The following is a 15,798-nucleotide window of genomic DNA, read 5'->3' on the forward strand; positions in this document are numbered from 1 at the left end:
ATATATGAAGTCAAACGAAATCTGAGTCTTTTAGATAGTCTATGGACACGTACCTTAACTGAAGACCAAAACTGTCGTTGAAAAAACAAGTAAGGCCCAGAATTTTTATTTTCTAAGACACTAAGTAAAAAAAAGAGAAACATATCATGATCAGATATTTTATATGTAGGTGCCATATGATTCCTGGACAAAAGATTTTTCTACAAAACAGGTAAACAAAATAAATTTTTAATTTTTCAAATAATTGCATTCTGGAAGATAGTATGTTAAAAAGGCAATGGAAATTTATTCTGAGACACTCAGGGAGAACGTAAGAGTATTGTTTTATTCTGCTTAAGGGAACAATCTCGCCACTAATCTAGTCTCTCTGTAATACACTACATGGGTGAAGTTTGTATTTCAAGCTAGTTTTTCAGAATTTTATAAGCCTTCTCTGAAACACAATGGAGAATATTATCTTTAATGTTCTTCAGAGTTACTTACTTTTTGGGATATAAGGGCATAAATACATCATCATCTAAAGTTCTTCTCATTCTCAATAAAAGTGCCTTTAGGTATACCTAAAAAGTTAAAAGTAGATCACACATTTTAATAAGGACTATGACAAGAAAAATAAGCCATATTCCAAATCATGTAACTGAATATTGAACTGAGTGAACTAGTTTCTCAAATTTTTAATTTTCCTCATTGAAGACCCTAAAGTAATTAATACTTAATAATCTATTAGTTCATTCCTCAACAACTGCCAAGCAATAAAGCTTTAGAAATCTTTCAATTCCTTAGTCTACATAAAGATTTAAGACCAGACACATAATCTAGCTCTCAAAGTGAAAATTCAACAATGACAAAGAGCACCCACCTTCTCTACATTTAAACAGCTTCTATGAATGGCCCCTGAAGAGCATTAACTTTAAGTTTGGCAACTAGTTATAAAACAGTATCTAGTTGTTTTATATGCTGTTTAAATGGTTTGGGTGCCCAATCTTTTGGCTTCCCTGGGCCATACTGGAAGAACTGTCTTGGGCCACACATAAAATACAATGACACTAATGACAGCTGATGAGCTAAAAAAAAAAAAAAAAGAAAAAAAAAAAGGAGGGGGGCGGGGTCTGTGCATAAATTTCATGTATTAAGACAGTTTACAAATTTGTGTTGGGCCGCATTCAAAGCCGTCCTGGGCCACATGTCCATGGGCCACGGGTTGGACAAGCTTAAATTATCAATTGTTAACATTTTGGTTTCTCATTTCCCCCCAGAAAATACAGTCTTTAAAAGGACATTTGATTAGTTGGATTGGGACTGAGGTGTGGTGGTGAGAAATCATAATGAAAGGCTATTTAAAATGATGACATCTTCCTTCCATATTGATTTTTTTAAACTGAAAACTAACATCTCTCTGCGGGACTAGGTATAAAAAAAAGAAAAAAAAAACCTAACATCTCAAATTTTGTGTATTTCAGGCTTTAATGGCCCTGATGGCCCAAGTGGGAGAACCAGATTTCTGATTGGTTTAGGATAACCACTCATTCTCTCAATGCTTGCTCATATTCAACAGAAAGAGGAAAAAAAAAAAAGGCTTCAAAAGATACTAAATTACCTGTGTATTTTTATTTTCTGCATTCACTACTGAAGGATATCCATTGATTAATTTTAGTGTAATTCCCACCATTCTTGAAGTCTGTGTTGTAGAAAAAGGGTCCCACATATTTTCAGCTATCACTATTAAGAAAAAAAGAGGATTGAGACACAGAAGCCAATTGTACCTTTAATTTTTTGTCAAGCAGACCTCTATTAATGCCAATCCTAATTTATTTTTCCTCTTTTTCTACAATATAAGCTTTAGTCTTCTTTGTCCTATTAACTGTGGGAATTTGGAGGGATAGGGATGTGGAGAGAGGATAGATTATTCTTATTTCTGGTACTCAGGGAAAATAAAGATTAGGAAAAAAGAGGATTTCTGTAGAAATGTTGTCTTGGCATCAAGAATTTCAAACTAACATTTCTAGTATTTAAAATAGATTCCTGTATCAATGATTCCTAATCTTTTTTGAGGAACTTATGAAAGCATTTTAATTGCTCCCCACATAAATGCATATCCTCCTCCCTCAAACTCTGTATAATTTTGCTTCAGTCAGTCTTTGAATTTCTAAACCTCACCTATGAAGCAATTACTGCACTCAACTACAGGCCCACCCTAAAGTGGTCTTCAAGTCCCAGGATAAGAACCCCTCTGCCCTCTAGCCATCTCTGGGCCAGGTGGTAACTATTATTTCTCATGTAATTTCTATAAGGAAACATGCTCTGAATTATAAACTCATAAAAATAGATTTGAGAAAGCCAGTGTGTCTGAATGCTCAATTCAGAGAACAGGAGATTTACCTGTTAGTTTAGGAAGAATCACCTTTTCCACAATGGTAGGTAGTAGGGCAACATCTACATCATCTTTTTCTTGCTCTCGTTCTTCACAACCATAAAACAGCAAAGATTCAAACCACAGCATATTCTCAAAGTCACGACATTTTGCCTAAAAGACATTTAAAAGGTTACCCAAATACTAAAATAGTGGCTATTTCTGCTTCCAGCTATGATAAGAGAAACAAGAACTGGATTTAACCTTTGGTTGCAAACAACTAAAAACTGGACGGCTGGAGATATCATGCTACCAGACTTCAAACTATAAGGCCACAGTAACCAAAACAGCATGGTACTGATACAAAAACAGACACATAGACCAATGGAACAGAATAGAGAACTCAGCAATAAGACCGCACACCTACAACCATCTGATCTCCGACAAACCTGACACGAACAAGCAATGGGGAAAAGATTCCCTGTTTAATAAATGGTGTTGGGAGAATTGGCTAGCCATATACAGAAAATTGAAACTGGGCTCCTTCCTTACACCATATACAAAAGTTAAGTCAAGATGGATTAAAGACTTAAATGTAAACCCCAAAACTATAAAAATCCTAGAAGAAAATCTAGGCAATACCATTCAAGACATCGGCATGGGCAAAGATTTCACGACAAAAACACCAAAAGCAACTGCAACAAAAGCAAAAATTGACAAATGGTATCTAATTCAACTAAAGAGCTTCTACGCAGCAAAAGAAACTATTATCAGAGTGAACAGACAACCTACAGAATGGGAGAAAATTCTTGCAATCTATCCATCTGACAAAGGTCTAATATCCAGAGTCTACAGGAAACTTTATAGGAAAAAAACAACCCCATTAAAAGTGGGCAAAGGACATGAACAGATACTTCTCAAAAGAAGACATTCATGTAGCCAACAAACATGAAAAAAAGCTCAACATCACCGATGATTGGAGAAATGCAAATCTAAACCACAATGAGATACCATCCCATGCCAATCAGAATGGGAATTATTTAAAAGTCCAGAAACAAAAGATGCTGGTAAGGTTTCAGAGAAAAAGGAACACTTTTACACTATTGGTGGGAGTGTAAGGAAGACAGTGTGCCAATTCCTCACAGATCTAGAAGCAGAAATGCCATTTGACCCAGCAATCCCATTACTGGGTATATACCTACAGAAATATAAATCATTCTATTATAAAGCTACATGCATATGTATGTTCACTGCAGCACTATTCACAATAGCAAAGACATGGAATCAACCCAAATGCCCATCAATTATAGACTGGATAAAGAAAATGTTATACATATACACCATGGAATACTATGCAGCCATAAAAAGGAACGAGGTCATGTCCTTTGCAGGGACATGGATGGAGCTAGAAGCCATTATCCTCAGCAAACTAACGCAGGAACAGAAACCCAAGCACCACATGTTCTCGCAAGTGGGAGCTGAACAATGAGAATATATGGACACATACTGGGGAAAAACACACACTGAGGCCTGTTGGGGGGTGGGGGTGGGGACTTGGGGGAGGGAGAGCAACAACAGCTACTGGATGCTAGGCTTCCTACCAAGGTGATGGGTTGATCTGTGCTGTAAACCACCATGTCACATGTTTACCTATGTAACAAATCTGCACATGTACCCTGGAACTTAAAAGCCAAAGAAAATAAAAAAGAACTGGACAAAATACAATGGACCATAGGCAGCACAAGACTATGACCCTTTAAAGAAAGGAATCAAATGAGGTGAGATGCTAGTTCAGGACAGCAGAGCAGTTTTGCTGAGTGGAGGAGACAGAGGGTGGAGCTCAGGAAGGCTGACACAGCTGGAAACTGTGGGGCAGAGGAGTGGGGGACACAGAAAAATAACTCCAAAATACAGTCTTGGGCCTTTGCTATCTACCAAGACACTCATGCACACAGCAAAACTTCAGAAGGTCTGGCCAAGAGCACACAGGAAATAGGAGCTGTGAGCTGAATGCTTCTCAGAGCTCACATTTTTTTCAGTTGTGTTTCCATGGCATCAACCTCAGCTCCCTTTTCCTTATAGTTCACAAATTCAACCTAGCCAATCTCAACCATGTCTACAGCTTCACCCACGTTGGTAACTTCTAAAACCACATTGTAAACATCACCACTAGACCTCCAGAGTCAATTCTAGCCCCCTCCCTTATATGACAGGCCAATAGGTCCTCTTGATTCCACCTCCTTATCTTTTTTTTTTTTTCTTGTGGCAGGTCTTGTTCTATCACCCAGGCTGCAGTGCAGTGGCACAATCATAGCTCATTACAGCCTTGATCTCCCGGGCTCAAGCAATCCTGCCTCAGCCCCCGAAGTAGCTAGGAATATGAGCACATGCCACCACAGCTAATTTTTTTTTTTTTTTTTTAAGTAGAGACAAGGTCTTGCTATGTTGCCCAGGCTGGTCTTGAACTCCTGAGCTCAAACAATCCTCCCGCCTTGGCCTCCCAAACTGTTGGGATTACAAGCATGAGCCACCATGCCTGGCCTATCAATTTTTCTCACCATGACAACTGACTTGGGTCATGTCCTCATTTCACACCTGCCTCATTGTGCTTTCCCATCTGGTTCTGAGTTCCTCTAGGATCAAAGGACCAAGTTCTTACTATTCATGTTCATATCCCAGTGTTACTGCATATAATTTCAGCTGGCTGAAAAAAGGATTATATGTAAACTGAAAAAACAACAACAACAACAAAAAAAACACATAGCTCTGCTGGGAAGACATGAAACTTAAAAGGAAAGATCATAAGATTATAACCAGATACAATCTATCAATTATAGCCTATGCCCTATCACCCCTGCAAAATATTTTGCTTAAGCTTACATCTCTAGCTTTGAGATTAAAATTACCCAGATATCAAATTATAACACTTTCTAATAGTGACAGAAGCCACTCACCTCAAGAGGAGTCCAAGTGAGGAGCTGAAGTCGTATGAGGGGGTTGAATAATTTTGGCAAACAAAGGCCAATGTAAGCATCTTTGTAGGATGTGTAGTATTTTGAACGCCATGCTTCAAACTGTGATTTAATACAGTCAATTGAATAGAAACTTTCAAGGACATCTTCAAAAACTTTGCCGGATTCTTTTGAAATTCGATCTAAAAACAACAAAACCCCACAGAGAACCATACATTAGTATGAAGTAGGAAAAAAACAGTCCAATATTTTCAGTGTTTTCTTTGTAGCTTCAGTATCAGAAGATACGCTCATTAACAAAGGGCCAATTGTTAGTCACAATTTAGAAGAAAAAAATAAATTGAAGTTTCAATTTGTCTATTATGTAAACTAAAGTGCAGCCAGTCCTTGTTTTGCAGTTCCAGTATATACAATTTTTCTACCACAGTTTGGCTAAATAAAACCTGTTCCCAAACAAGATGGTTCAAATTTCAGTTACTACGGTGTATTAGCCATAAGTAATTGTGCCGCTAGCTTTTTAGTTCACAGATCACTGCACAGATTAACAGCTGTGCATCATAATCAGTCACTAATCACATTGCTTCATTCAAACTCTGTTGGTGATTATAATAACTGACATAGCCAACTATCAGCTGAATGGATGCTAGGAACTTTAAGTGAAAAGTTATTTGCGAATAAGATTTTTTTTTTTTTTTTGAGACAGATTCTCACTCTGTCACCCAGGCTGGAGTGAAGTGGTGCGATCTCAGCTCACTGCAATCTCTGCCTCCCAGGTTCAAGTGATTCTCCTGCCTCAGCCTCCTGAGTAGCTGGGATTACAGGTATGCGCCACCATGCCCAACTAATTTTTGTATTTTTAGTAGAGATGGAGTTTCATCATGTGAGCCAGGCTGGTCTCGAATTCCTGACTTCAAGTGGTCCGCTGCCTCGGCCTCCCAAAGTGCTGGGATTACAGGTGTGAGCCACTGTGCCCAACCAAGAATAAGATACTCTTATGATGTCCCAGATTACTTGGGAAAAGGAAATATTTACAATGGAGAGATAAAGTTCTGAGAACCTTTACTGCAAGATCAATCTTAACATTGCTAATAGTGGGGACAGTCTAACATTTGTCATGTGCTTTTAAGCAGTATGAAACAGCATCCTGTATAAATTATTCTTGGGGAAGAAAAAAAAAAAGTTTAACTTAAATCTAATTAAGCCTTCAGACCTAAATTCCAGTTTACAAGAAATGGATCAAAGAACAAGTTAAACAATGCTATGAGGAAACATACAGACCAGTCTAGAATATAGGACAGTCTATAAGAGAAGTGGCCTGGTCTCTTCAAAAATTTAAAGAACAATAGGGGTGGGTGTGTGAATGTGTACTTAGGGTTACTCATTTATTCCAGATTTAAAAATGTCATAACCAAATGCAGAGCATGAACCTTAGGTGGATCCTGGTTTCAAAAACCACAAAATAACCCATAAAAATAGTTCCTAAAAAGGGTTTTTCCAGGATGCCATTGAGAAAAATTATATATGGACATGATATTAAGAAATCTGTTTTCTTATTGTGCTAAAAAAAGAAATACTTAATCAGAATAGGCATCTAACAAAAAGAAAAAAGATAATAATACTGTGATTATACAGAAAAATATACTCATTTAGAGGAAACACACTCTGAAATTTTGGGGAGTGAAGAGCCATGAGGTCTGTAAGTTACTTTCAAATGGTTCAGCAAACACACACATCTCCTTGTATAAAGAGCCAGGCAAACTTGGTGAAATCATAAGCATTGTTATCTGAGTGATAGGTATGTGGATGATCACTGTGCTAGTCTTTCAAATTTTGTTTAGAAATGTTCACTGTAAAAAAAGTAAGAGAAAGAAGCTTCTCCAACTAAGTTCCAAATGGTGTGCAATTGATATAATTCCAAACAATTATAGCCAATGGTGGGAAATGAAGACTTTTATTTGGGATCCTTCTGAAAATGCCTGGCACATAATAGTACTAACCATTCCTCTAAGGTGAGATTACTTATGACTCCCCAAATCAAGAGTTTCCTTCAGGGCTGAGTGCTCTACTGCCAAGCTTTACCTTTCCAGACCAGACAGGCTGCAATGAGAGCTGCCCTCAAGGACCTGACACATTTCCAGTCACTTAAAATTCTACCATTTGGAACAGTAACAACATTTATTATGCAAATACTAAGTACACCCTATGAGAAGATGTTACCCCTATTTTTGAGAATTCATCATGATATTCACTAATAAAAAGGCATGCAAATTTCTGCAATTAAAAAAGAAGTGTCTGGTTCTAATGCAGAGACCATGAAGATTCAAATCATTTCATGGTAAAAACCATACCCAAGTAGAAACTAAACTGATGATGAGTCTTATTTCCAAATAAATGTCTAACCTTTTTCCAGATTGAAATTAGTAATATCTGTAGAAGTTTCTTCATCATCACTGGAAAGGCCTTCAAGGTGATCTGCCATCTTACCGGTTTGTTCTCTGGCTTGTCTACGACGAGTCCTAAATAATAAACATCAAGTTCCCAAACTAGATAACAGAGACTCCTCCCTTCCCAAACAAGCCAGAGCAAGGGTTTTGAGAATTACCTCCTGGCCTCCCGCTCTGCAATGCGACGTTTTGCATGCTCTTGATACAGTGCCCGATCGCGTCCAAAGGAGTCAAGATTTGGTGCCATCAGAGCTTTGTCTGCAAAACAACAACAGTTAAAATTAAAAGCCATCTTTCAACAATCTTGAGGAAAGAGTTTGCACAGAATAAGCCATTACGACAGACTGCTTGCTAATCTCAACGGCAAGATTCTGCAATAACTGGTAAACCAGGTAGGTTTTTGGTTTAGAACAAATTTCATTATTATTCTGCGTTCCCATTTTAAAAAGTAGAAAAATTAAAGAAGTGATTTCTTTTTAAGAGTTCAACAACCCTACAAATATGTAATTGGGCTTACTCACTATTTTTATGTCTAAGTAACAGGACAGCTATCAGGAATAGCTATCATGATGACCAAATAAATTAAAACTCTAAATTACCTGTGCAAAGGGAAAAATATTACATTTTTAAGGAGGAAGAACTTCAGCATCACATTGAATGACAGCAGGAAAACATAGGAAGACATAAGAAAACAGCTTTGTTGCAAGAGTTTAATAAATTTATTGTAATTTTGCTTTGTAGAAATTTGTTTTCTATCACTATTTTTAGAATAAGGCATCTGAAAACCGCATCTGAGCAGGACCAACTTCCGCCTTCTCAAATGCTAATCTTTCTCTTTCACAGCATAGTTTTATTTTATTTTTTTGGTCTTCGTATTTTCCATTTCTCAAAAAACATTCTAGGGTAATTTCCTAGCTTTAGCTTCCAATCCTATTTAAATTTATATTTCAGTTATCATATTTTTAGTTTTCAAGAGATAGTTCTTGTTCTTACAATATTCCTCTTCTACAGCATTCTATATACTCCTGTTGAGTAGGATACCTTCTATTATCTCCCTGGGGCTCCCAACTGTTTGAAAGTAATCTGTTTACAGAAAACTTGCATACTTGTACCAGCACTGTCTGTTTCCTCAGTCCCTTTGGTTCTGCTGCTCAGGTTGGTCCTTATGATCATCGTTAACTGCCTGTTCATATAGAAGAGCAAGACTGGAAGCTGTGTGTGTGGGCAGGAGCTGTCTAACAGAGGTGTCTCCGTCGGATCACTAGGTACTGAGCCAGTTCTTTTGTTGGGGATCCCCAGATTTTAGTGTTTCAGGGTCTTTATTTTGGACCTACTCTCTTTAATCAAAAAAGACTCCCCTAATCTCTTGCCTAGGTAAAAGAAGGGGTGGGGGAAACATCTGTCCACTATACTTCCCTCATTTCTACGTTTTAGTTCCACACTATGAAGATATGACAGTAAGGGGAGGCAAACAACCCAAACGACTGGGTGAGAGGGGAGGGAGGTGAGCACATGCAAGATGAAAGACATCCAAGTTAAGACTTGCATATTTTTTTACTTATCAATTGATATTTACTGATATCAACAGAGATGTGTCACCAAAATCAGCAACAGGAAAAACAAAACCAAAATTTAGCTCTTACTTCAGAATATCCTAATTATCAGACCTTACTATCTATCTATCTATTTATTTATTGAGACGGAGTCTTGCTCTTGTCGCCCAGAATGGAGTGCAATGGCACAACCTCAGTTCACTGCAACCTCCGCCGCCCAGGTTCAAGCGATTCTCCCGCCTCAGCCTCCTCCTGAGTAGCTGGGATTACAGGCACCCGCCACCAGCTAATTTTTGTATTTTTAGAGACGGGGTTTTGCCATGTTGGCCAAGCTGGTCTCAAACTCCGCCTCGGCCTCTCAAAGTGCTGGGATTACAGGCGAGAGCCACCGTGCCTGACCAGACCCTACTATTTTTAAAAGTTGACTTTTTTTTTTACTGAGTTTTTCATTCATATTTCAAAATAGCTCTGAAATTAGGAAGGAGGTATGTTCCTGAGTGCATCAATTACAATGAAAAATTACTAAACCAGAAAGATTTCCCAGCCCTAGATGTGAGTTCACTACACACCCCAGATGAATTAGCTAAAATATCCCAAACTATAAAAATAATTCCAGACTCAAGAGTTTTCCTTCAAGAAATATTTTTAAAAATATCATTATACGGCTGGGCACGGTGGCTCACGCCTGTAATCCCAGCACTTTGGGAGGCTGAGGCTGGTGGATCACGAGGTCAGGAGTTCAAGACCAGCCTGACCAACATGGTGAAACCCCGTCTCTACTAAAAAAAATACAAAAATCAGCCAGGCGTAGCTGAGGCAGGAGAATTGCTTGAACCCGGGAGGCGGAGGTGGCGGTGAGCCGAGATTGCGCCATTGCACTCCAGCCTGGGCAACAAAGCGAGACTCCGTCTCAAAAAAAAAAAAAAAAAAAAAACATTATACTTAAAACATCACTGCATGTATAGGTTTTGTAAAATGTGCACTGGAGGAGACAGGTGAGTCTAACATGACTCAAGTGATAGCCTCCTCCATTTCTGTAAGAATTATACACAGTAATTGCAGATAAGTGCTTATAAATCTAAACAGAAGAATTTCAGACTATTCTTTACTTCTTTAAAAAACAGATCAGAAAATGAATTGATTCTCCAGCATCCCATGTCATTTTCCTCAAATCTTTGGCAATTAATGTATACTCCCTCTAGGACTGTATTTTTCACTTTCCCAGTATCTTTTAATTTCTTTCCAACTTTCAATCAAACTAATATAAATAATTCAACTCTTCTTTCAAATCCCCTCTAAGTAAATAGCTCCATATTCTCAAGAACAAATTACAGATGGGAAAAGGTATTTGATGAAATGTACAGCTCACACAAACCATCTAACTTAAAAGAAAATTACCTCCCTTTGTAGTATAATGGTTACCTGTAATCTGCCCCAGAAATCTGGTTCTGTCTGGATCAAAAGTGATCTGGGAGGGATGCATGAGTCATGTAGGTGGCTAATGTCAATAATCCAATTTAAAATTCAGTGGCAAAAACAGAAGGTCATAGCCATTTATAGGGCTCATAGCTGAGACTACCTCAGCTATGAGGGCCGTATTACCATCTGTTTATGCCTCTCCAAAACCCATCTGACATATAGGAGGATGCTTTTTCAGGGATCCTATGTCTCTCTGACTTAGAGACCATGTATAGCAAAGCATTGCTTTCTGAAAGAATAACATTAGAGCTATTTGCATTTGATCACCTGGAGAGATTGTTTAACATGCAAATTTCTGGATGCTGAAGACCTAGTAAGAATCACTGGGGATAGAACCAGAAAATCTGTATGTTAAACGAGTATCAGGTAATTGTGATGCACACTTCCATTTGAGAAATGCTGACAAAGGGAACAAAGAAATGACAAAAGAAACCACAAGGAATTCACACTAGGAAAATTCCTATTAGCGCACTCAAGAATATGGAGGGTAACGGAAAAAAAGGAACTAAACGGTTTAAAACATCCAGTTAAAGGACCTCCGCTGAACTATTTAACAAGAGGTTTCTAATTCTGGTTTTCCATAACACATGTCATAATGATGGAAGTACAAATTCAATTTCTATCCATTTGTATACAAAATTTCAAGAATTGTAAGCACCAACTGACTTACTAAAAAACACAGTACATAAAGCAAACTAGAGAAACATTTAAAAAGAAATTACAAAAAGTTTGCTTTATCCAAAGGATGAAGCTCAAAACTCTCCTATCTTGGAGTTGTGTCATTTGTTAAGTTATAGCTTCCCTCCCCCTACCCACAACATGTCCCAGTCCCTAAACTCAAACTCTTTCACTGTGATCAACAAAAGCATTTATTTGTATTGGTGTTTTGAATGAAAATGGGGGAAAAAACCAATTAGGGCCAAACAGATAATGGTTTTAACATAAAATACGGATAATGTCTTTTCTATACTCTAAAGGAGAATGAAAAAATATGCCCAAAGAATAAGAAGACTGACAGAATCTTAGCACGTTTTTGAGCTCCTTTGTGAAGCTCTATTTTCTTAAACACAATTCAAGTACATGCTGTTACCATTTTTAGATCTACCTGACACAACAGCAAGGAAATTGTTTCTTTAAAAAAAAAAAAAAAAGCTCCAAGATCTCTAATTTTCAATTAGGCTGCACTAAGTAAACAAGGTTGTTTAATGAATAATAAAAACCTTCAAGATGGACTGACTTGAATGGCTTGAAAACTCCGAAGATTCATCTTTAATATCATCTTGTCGTCTTTGGACAAGGCGGGAAGCTCGCTGTTTGTACAGCTGATGTATTGCTGATTCAAGTTCATTAATCAGTGGCACCTGTAAAAATACAACACACTCCGTAACACCAAACTCCTCAGCTGCTTATTTATTTGAGGGTTCCATACTATTTCCGGATTTCTGAAAAAGTACCCTCTCTATGGACAGAATAATCATGAATCCCCAACAGCACACAAGTAGCAAATTCTGTTTTATGTTTGGGAAACGACACTTCTTCTTTTAATCCATGCATAGAGCTATAATGTCCAGTGCCTAGTTATTGGAGCAAACATTAGTTAAGAAATGTAACACTTCAGTATTCATAGAACAAGTAAAGAAATGTCAACAATTTTAGAGCTTTTCCCTTAGAGAATATTTAAGTACTTAGAAGTCTTTTTAATATCTATTTTTAATTTTCCAGCAGCATTATCTGCATTGCGATTTTTGTAGTTCAAAGTAAAACATTATCACTGTGTGGTACCAAAAAAGTGCAATGGCTCTATAAGTAGGTAAGAACAAGAGTCTGCTAATTCTCCAATTTTGGACATTTCAGTTGCTCTGCCACTCATATGTACCAAGTACGTTACAGTAATCTGTTTACTATTTTGTAGCTTTATTACAGATTTTTTAATGTAAACAAAATAATTACTAGGGCGAATAAAATTTCCAGCTATCACTAACCTCTCTGAACTCAATATATCTCAAATTTAAAAAGTTGTTCTCTTCCTGTCAAATGTTTAAATTCTCCCATATTTTATAAAAATTTCTTTACATGAATTGTGAACTTACAAAGTCAATAATTTTTCCAGGTTAATATCCCTAAAGCATTTACTTGATTCATATAGAATACAAAAGAACATGAGAGCTAACTTAAAACAGAAAACTTTCTTTTTCTAAATACCTTATGTTATAATCAAATGCTATGAGACTTTCACGTAACACTAATGACCACTACACATACCTGAGGAAACCAGAAATTCTAGTTTCCTGATGGTTAGTGCAAATGGAAAACACATTATTTAGAGTTTGGGAACACTGGCACCAAGTGTTATAGCAGCTTCCTGAACTGAACAGACTGCAAATGGAAAATAAAAAAAGGCAGGTGGAATACAGAGATGTCTGTAATAAAAGCAATTTTATATACTTGCATGATTCCATTGCAAAAGTAGCAAATGTTCACAGAAAGGTCAAACTAATGGAGTTATTTTGTTCTTTAATATGCCACACCATGGGCAACAATGTCCCCAAATCTGTAATGATTATCCTTGATAGCTGAGTCCAGAGACTCTATCATTAAAATTTATTATAATCTGATTTTTTTTTAGCAATTACTGCCACAACATTGCCATTTACACTTCCCCATGCCCTCATTTTTTTTTTTAAACCATGAAGTACTAAAGATAAATGAGCCTGAGGCATTCTTTTATCTTTTAATCCTAGAGATTGTTAAGCTTCCTGTACTGTAGGAACTACCCACCTAAGCTGGCATCATACAGAATATAATTTTGCAACATATAGTTAAGATTCTGACAATGTAGTTTTTCTCTTTAGGTTAACTGGAATGCCTTTTACCGGAGGTCCAGAGAAAAACTCTACTGAGAATAAAAGCCCTAAACAGACTGTGAGCTCTCATTCAAGTTTCTTAACAATATTGATTTATCTCAAGAGTCTGCACCGTGACAATTTCTTTATCCTCTCCAAACTCAAAACTCTCACCAATTATTACTATTTTAGGGCCAAAGTTAAGGCAAAGAACCCAAGAAAGATAATTACAGGGAAACAAAAACAATGGCAAGTTAAAATGATTTACAAATATTTAAAACTTCTTTAAAAACCACCTAAACTTTCATAAGCAAAGAGGAAAAAAAAAGGGATCTTTATCTTTTTACGGTTAACTCTGAAATATTATTATAGTATAATTATTCAAAGTATCCAATTATTTCTAAGTATCTCCAATATAACAATTTATATTATCAACTCAGCAGTACTTTTTTGTTTTTTCTTTATTTTTAAGATTATCTTCTAAAGATCTAAGCTGAGCAGTACTCTTAAAATGAAATACACATGAAAATGTTAGAATGAAATATAATACTCATCTTTAAATGAAGCTATGTCTACCTCTCTTTTAATTAAAACGTAGTCACTGTATAAGGTTTAAGATTTGTTCCAAAAAATCTAAGTGACTCTGTATAACCACATTAGCATAATCTGAAGTAAACTTCTCTAGGAACAAGGTAATCGAGATGAAATACACTAATAATTCAACAATTAAAAACTATAAACTAGGTTGTCCTACTTTTGGTATGATCTAGCTGATCATATTACTGTCAAATTTTTTAGAGTTGTGTTTGCAATTATGAATGTCTTAATTTACTCAAGAAAGTTCCGAAGCAAGCGCCAAGACACTTCAAGAAGCAGCTCTCCAGGGACAAACTCATAAAGCATAGTTTAAGAAAAAGATCCTTTCTCTAGTCACAAAGGTTATGAGACCAGCTCCCACCATGCCCACTGGGCTCAGAAGAGTTTTGCCAGTAGGAAGGACATGACTGTCAACTCTTGACACTTAGGTTCCACTTCCAATCTTGACTCCAGCTCCCGGCACAGAGGAATACAGACAAGCCTATACTTCTTCCCCACCCTAAGCAACTGATACACCACAAGTGGTATCATAACTCAGACTGCAGCTGCTTCTCCAGAAACCAGGTGATAAAGACAAAACATGAGAAACCCTACAGAGAGGACATGGTGAATGTTATCTCATCCTGAATCTGGCCACAGACTGACTGGAACCATTAAGACCCATCAGGAAGAAAGATCCATCAGGAAGACATAGTCTGGCAATGATCTTTTCCCAGCCATTGGTTTTAGGGTATTCAAGTAATCAACAAAGATAACAAAAGTTGAAATACATATTTAACCACACTATATGCTTACAGATTCTAAGCTAATCTACATAGCCAATAACAAAGGGAAATGTGCCTTCCAATCCAAAGTTCAGACAGGATATTTAAGGACCACAGTTTTAATTTTTTTTTTTTTAAAGATAAGGCTGCAAAGTCCACAAATGCTTATAAACCAGTGCCTCAACCAATACTTTTATCTTAAAGAAAAAAAATCAATTAGGAGGTCATTTGAGAAACTAGCTGTTTGCACCTAATTTTAAATGTAAACAATAAATAGTATAAGAATGCCAAACATTTTGTCAACTGACTATCCTATTGAAAAAAACAAACTTGGGAGAAATGAAACCTTAGAAAAAATGATATCCAATGAAATGGTTTCTGAAAGAAATCAAGCATAGGCTTACTTAGATAAAAACTATTAGCAACAATGGTAATCATCATCCAGGGTAAAAAAAAAAAAAAAAAAAAAACTAATAAAAATTTGCAACTTTATATGCATATTTAGAATTGCTTGTAGAAACGTTTAAAAATAAGTTTAAACCTGAACCAGAAAAGAAAATTTTATCAGATGAGTCCCTTATATTCTAAGAATTCAGCACAGGCCAATAATAATCTACCACCATATTGAAATAAGACTTTCCAAAGTCTTATTTAAATGTGCTTTAAGATATTATCTTTATTTCTGTTTTCAACAAAGGTATTATATTGCCCTTAAGAGATAATGCCACTAATGAAGTGAAGAAAAATGAAGCATGACTTTTCATCACTTCTAATGTTGAGTTCAGTGGGTACTTTC

The 15,798-nt window shown here is 36.6% G+C and overlaps 1 protein-coding gene and 1 long non-coding RNA gene across 8 annotated transcripts in view; one reads left to right on the plus strand and one right to left on the minus strand.

The window, feature by feature from the left end:
* The window catches only part of PAXBP1 (PAX3 and PAX7 binding protein 1), a 37,857-nt gene that overhangs the window by 9,296 nt on the left and 12,763 nt on the right, over positions 1-15,798 (minus strand). For 3 of the 7 annotated variants that reach the window (XM_006724066.3, NM_016631.4, NM_013329.4), the window contains exons 8-15: positions 12,036-12,159; positions 7,925-8,024; positions 7,723-7,838; positions 5,305-5,504; positions 2,380-2,524; positions 1,598-1,719; positions 484-560; positions 54-120 (exon numbers count right to left, since the gene is read on the minus strand). In XM_006724066.3, coding sequence (XP_006724129.1) covers positions 54-120; positions 484-560; positions 1,598-1,719; positions 2,380-2,524; positions 5,305-5,504; positions 7,723-7,838; positions 7,925-8,024; positions 12,036-12,159 — 951 coding nt within the window. The other 4 variants (NR_027873.2, XM_047441051.1, XM_011529804.4 and 1 more) reach the window with 4 other exon arrangements.
* LOC124905010 (uncharacterized) lies at positions 8,060-15,494 on the plus strand. The gene is made up of 2 exons (XR_007067844.1): positions 8,060-8,158; positions 8,922-15,494. It is a non-coding gene; the product is annotated as an uncharacterized LOC124905010 (long non-coding RNA).

Source organism: Homo sapiens, chromosome 21 (assembly GCF_000001405.40).
Source record: "Homo sapiens chromosome 21, GRCh38.p14 Primary Assembly".
In the NCBI taxonomy this organism is placed as follows: Eukaryota; Metazoa; Chordata; class Mammalia; order Primates; family Hominidae; genus Homo; species Homo sapiens.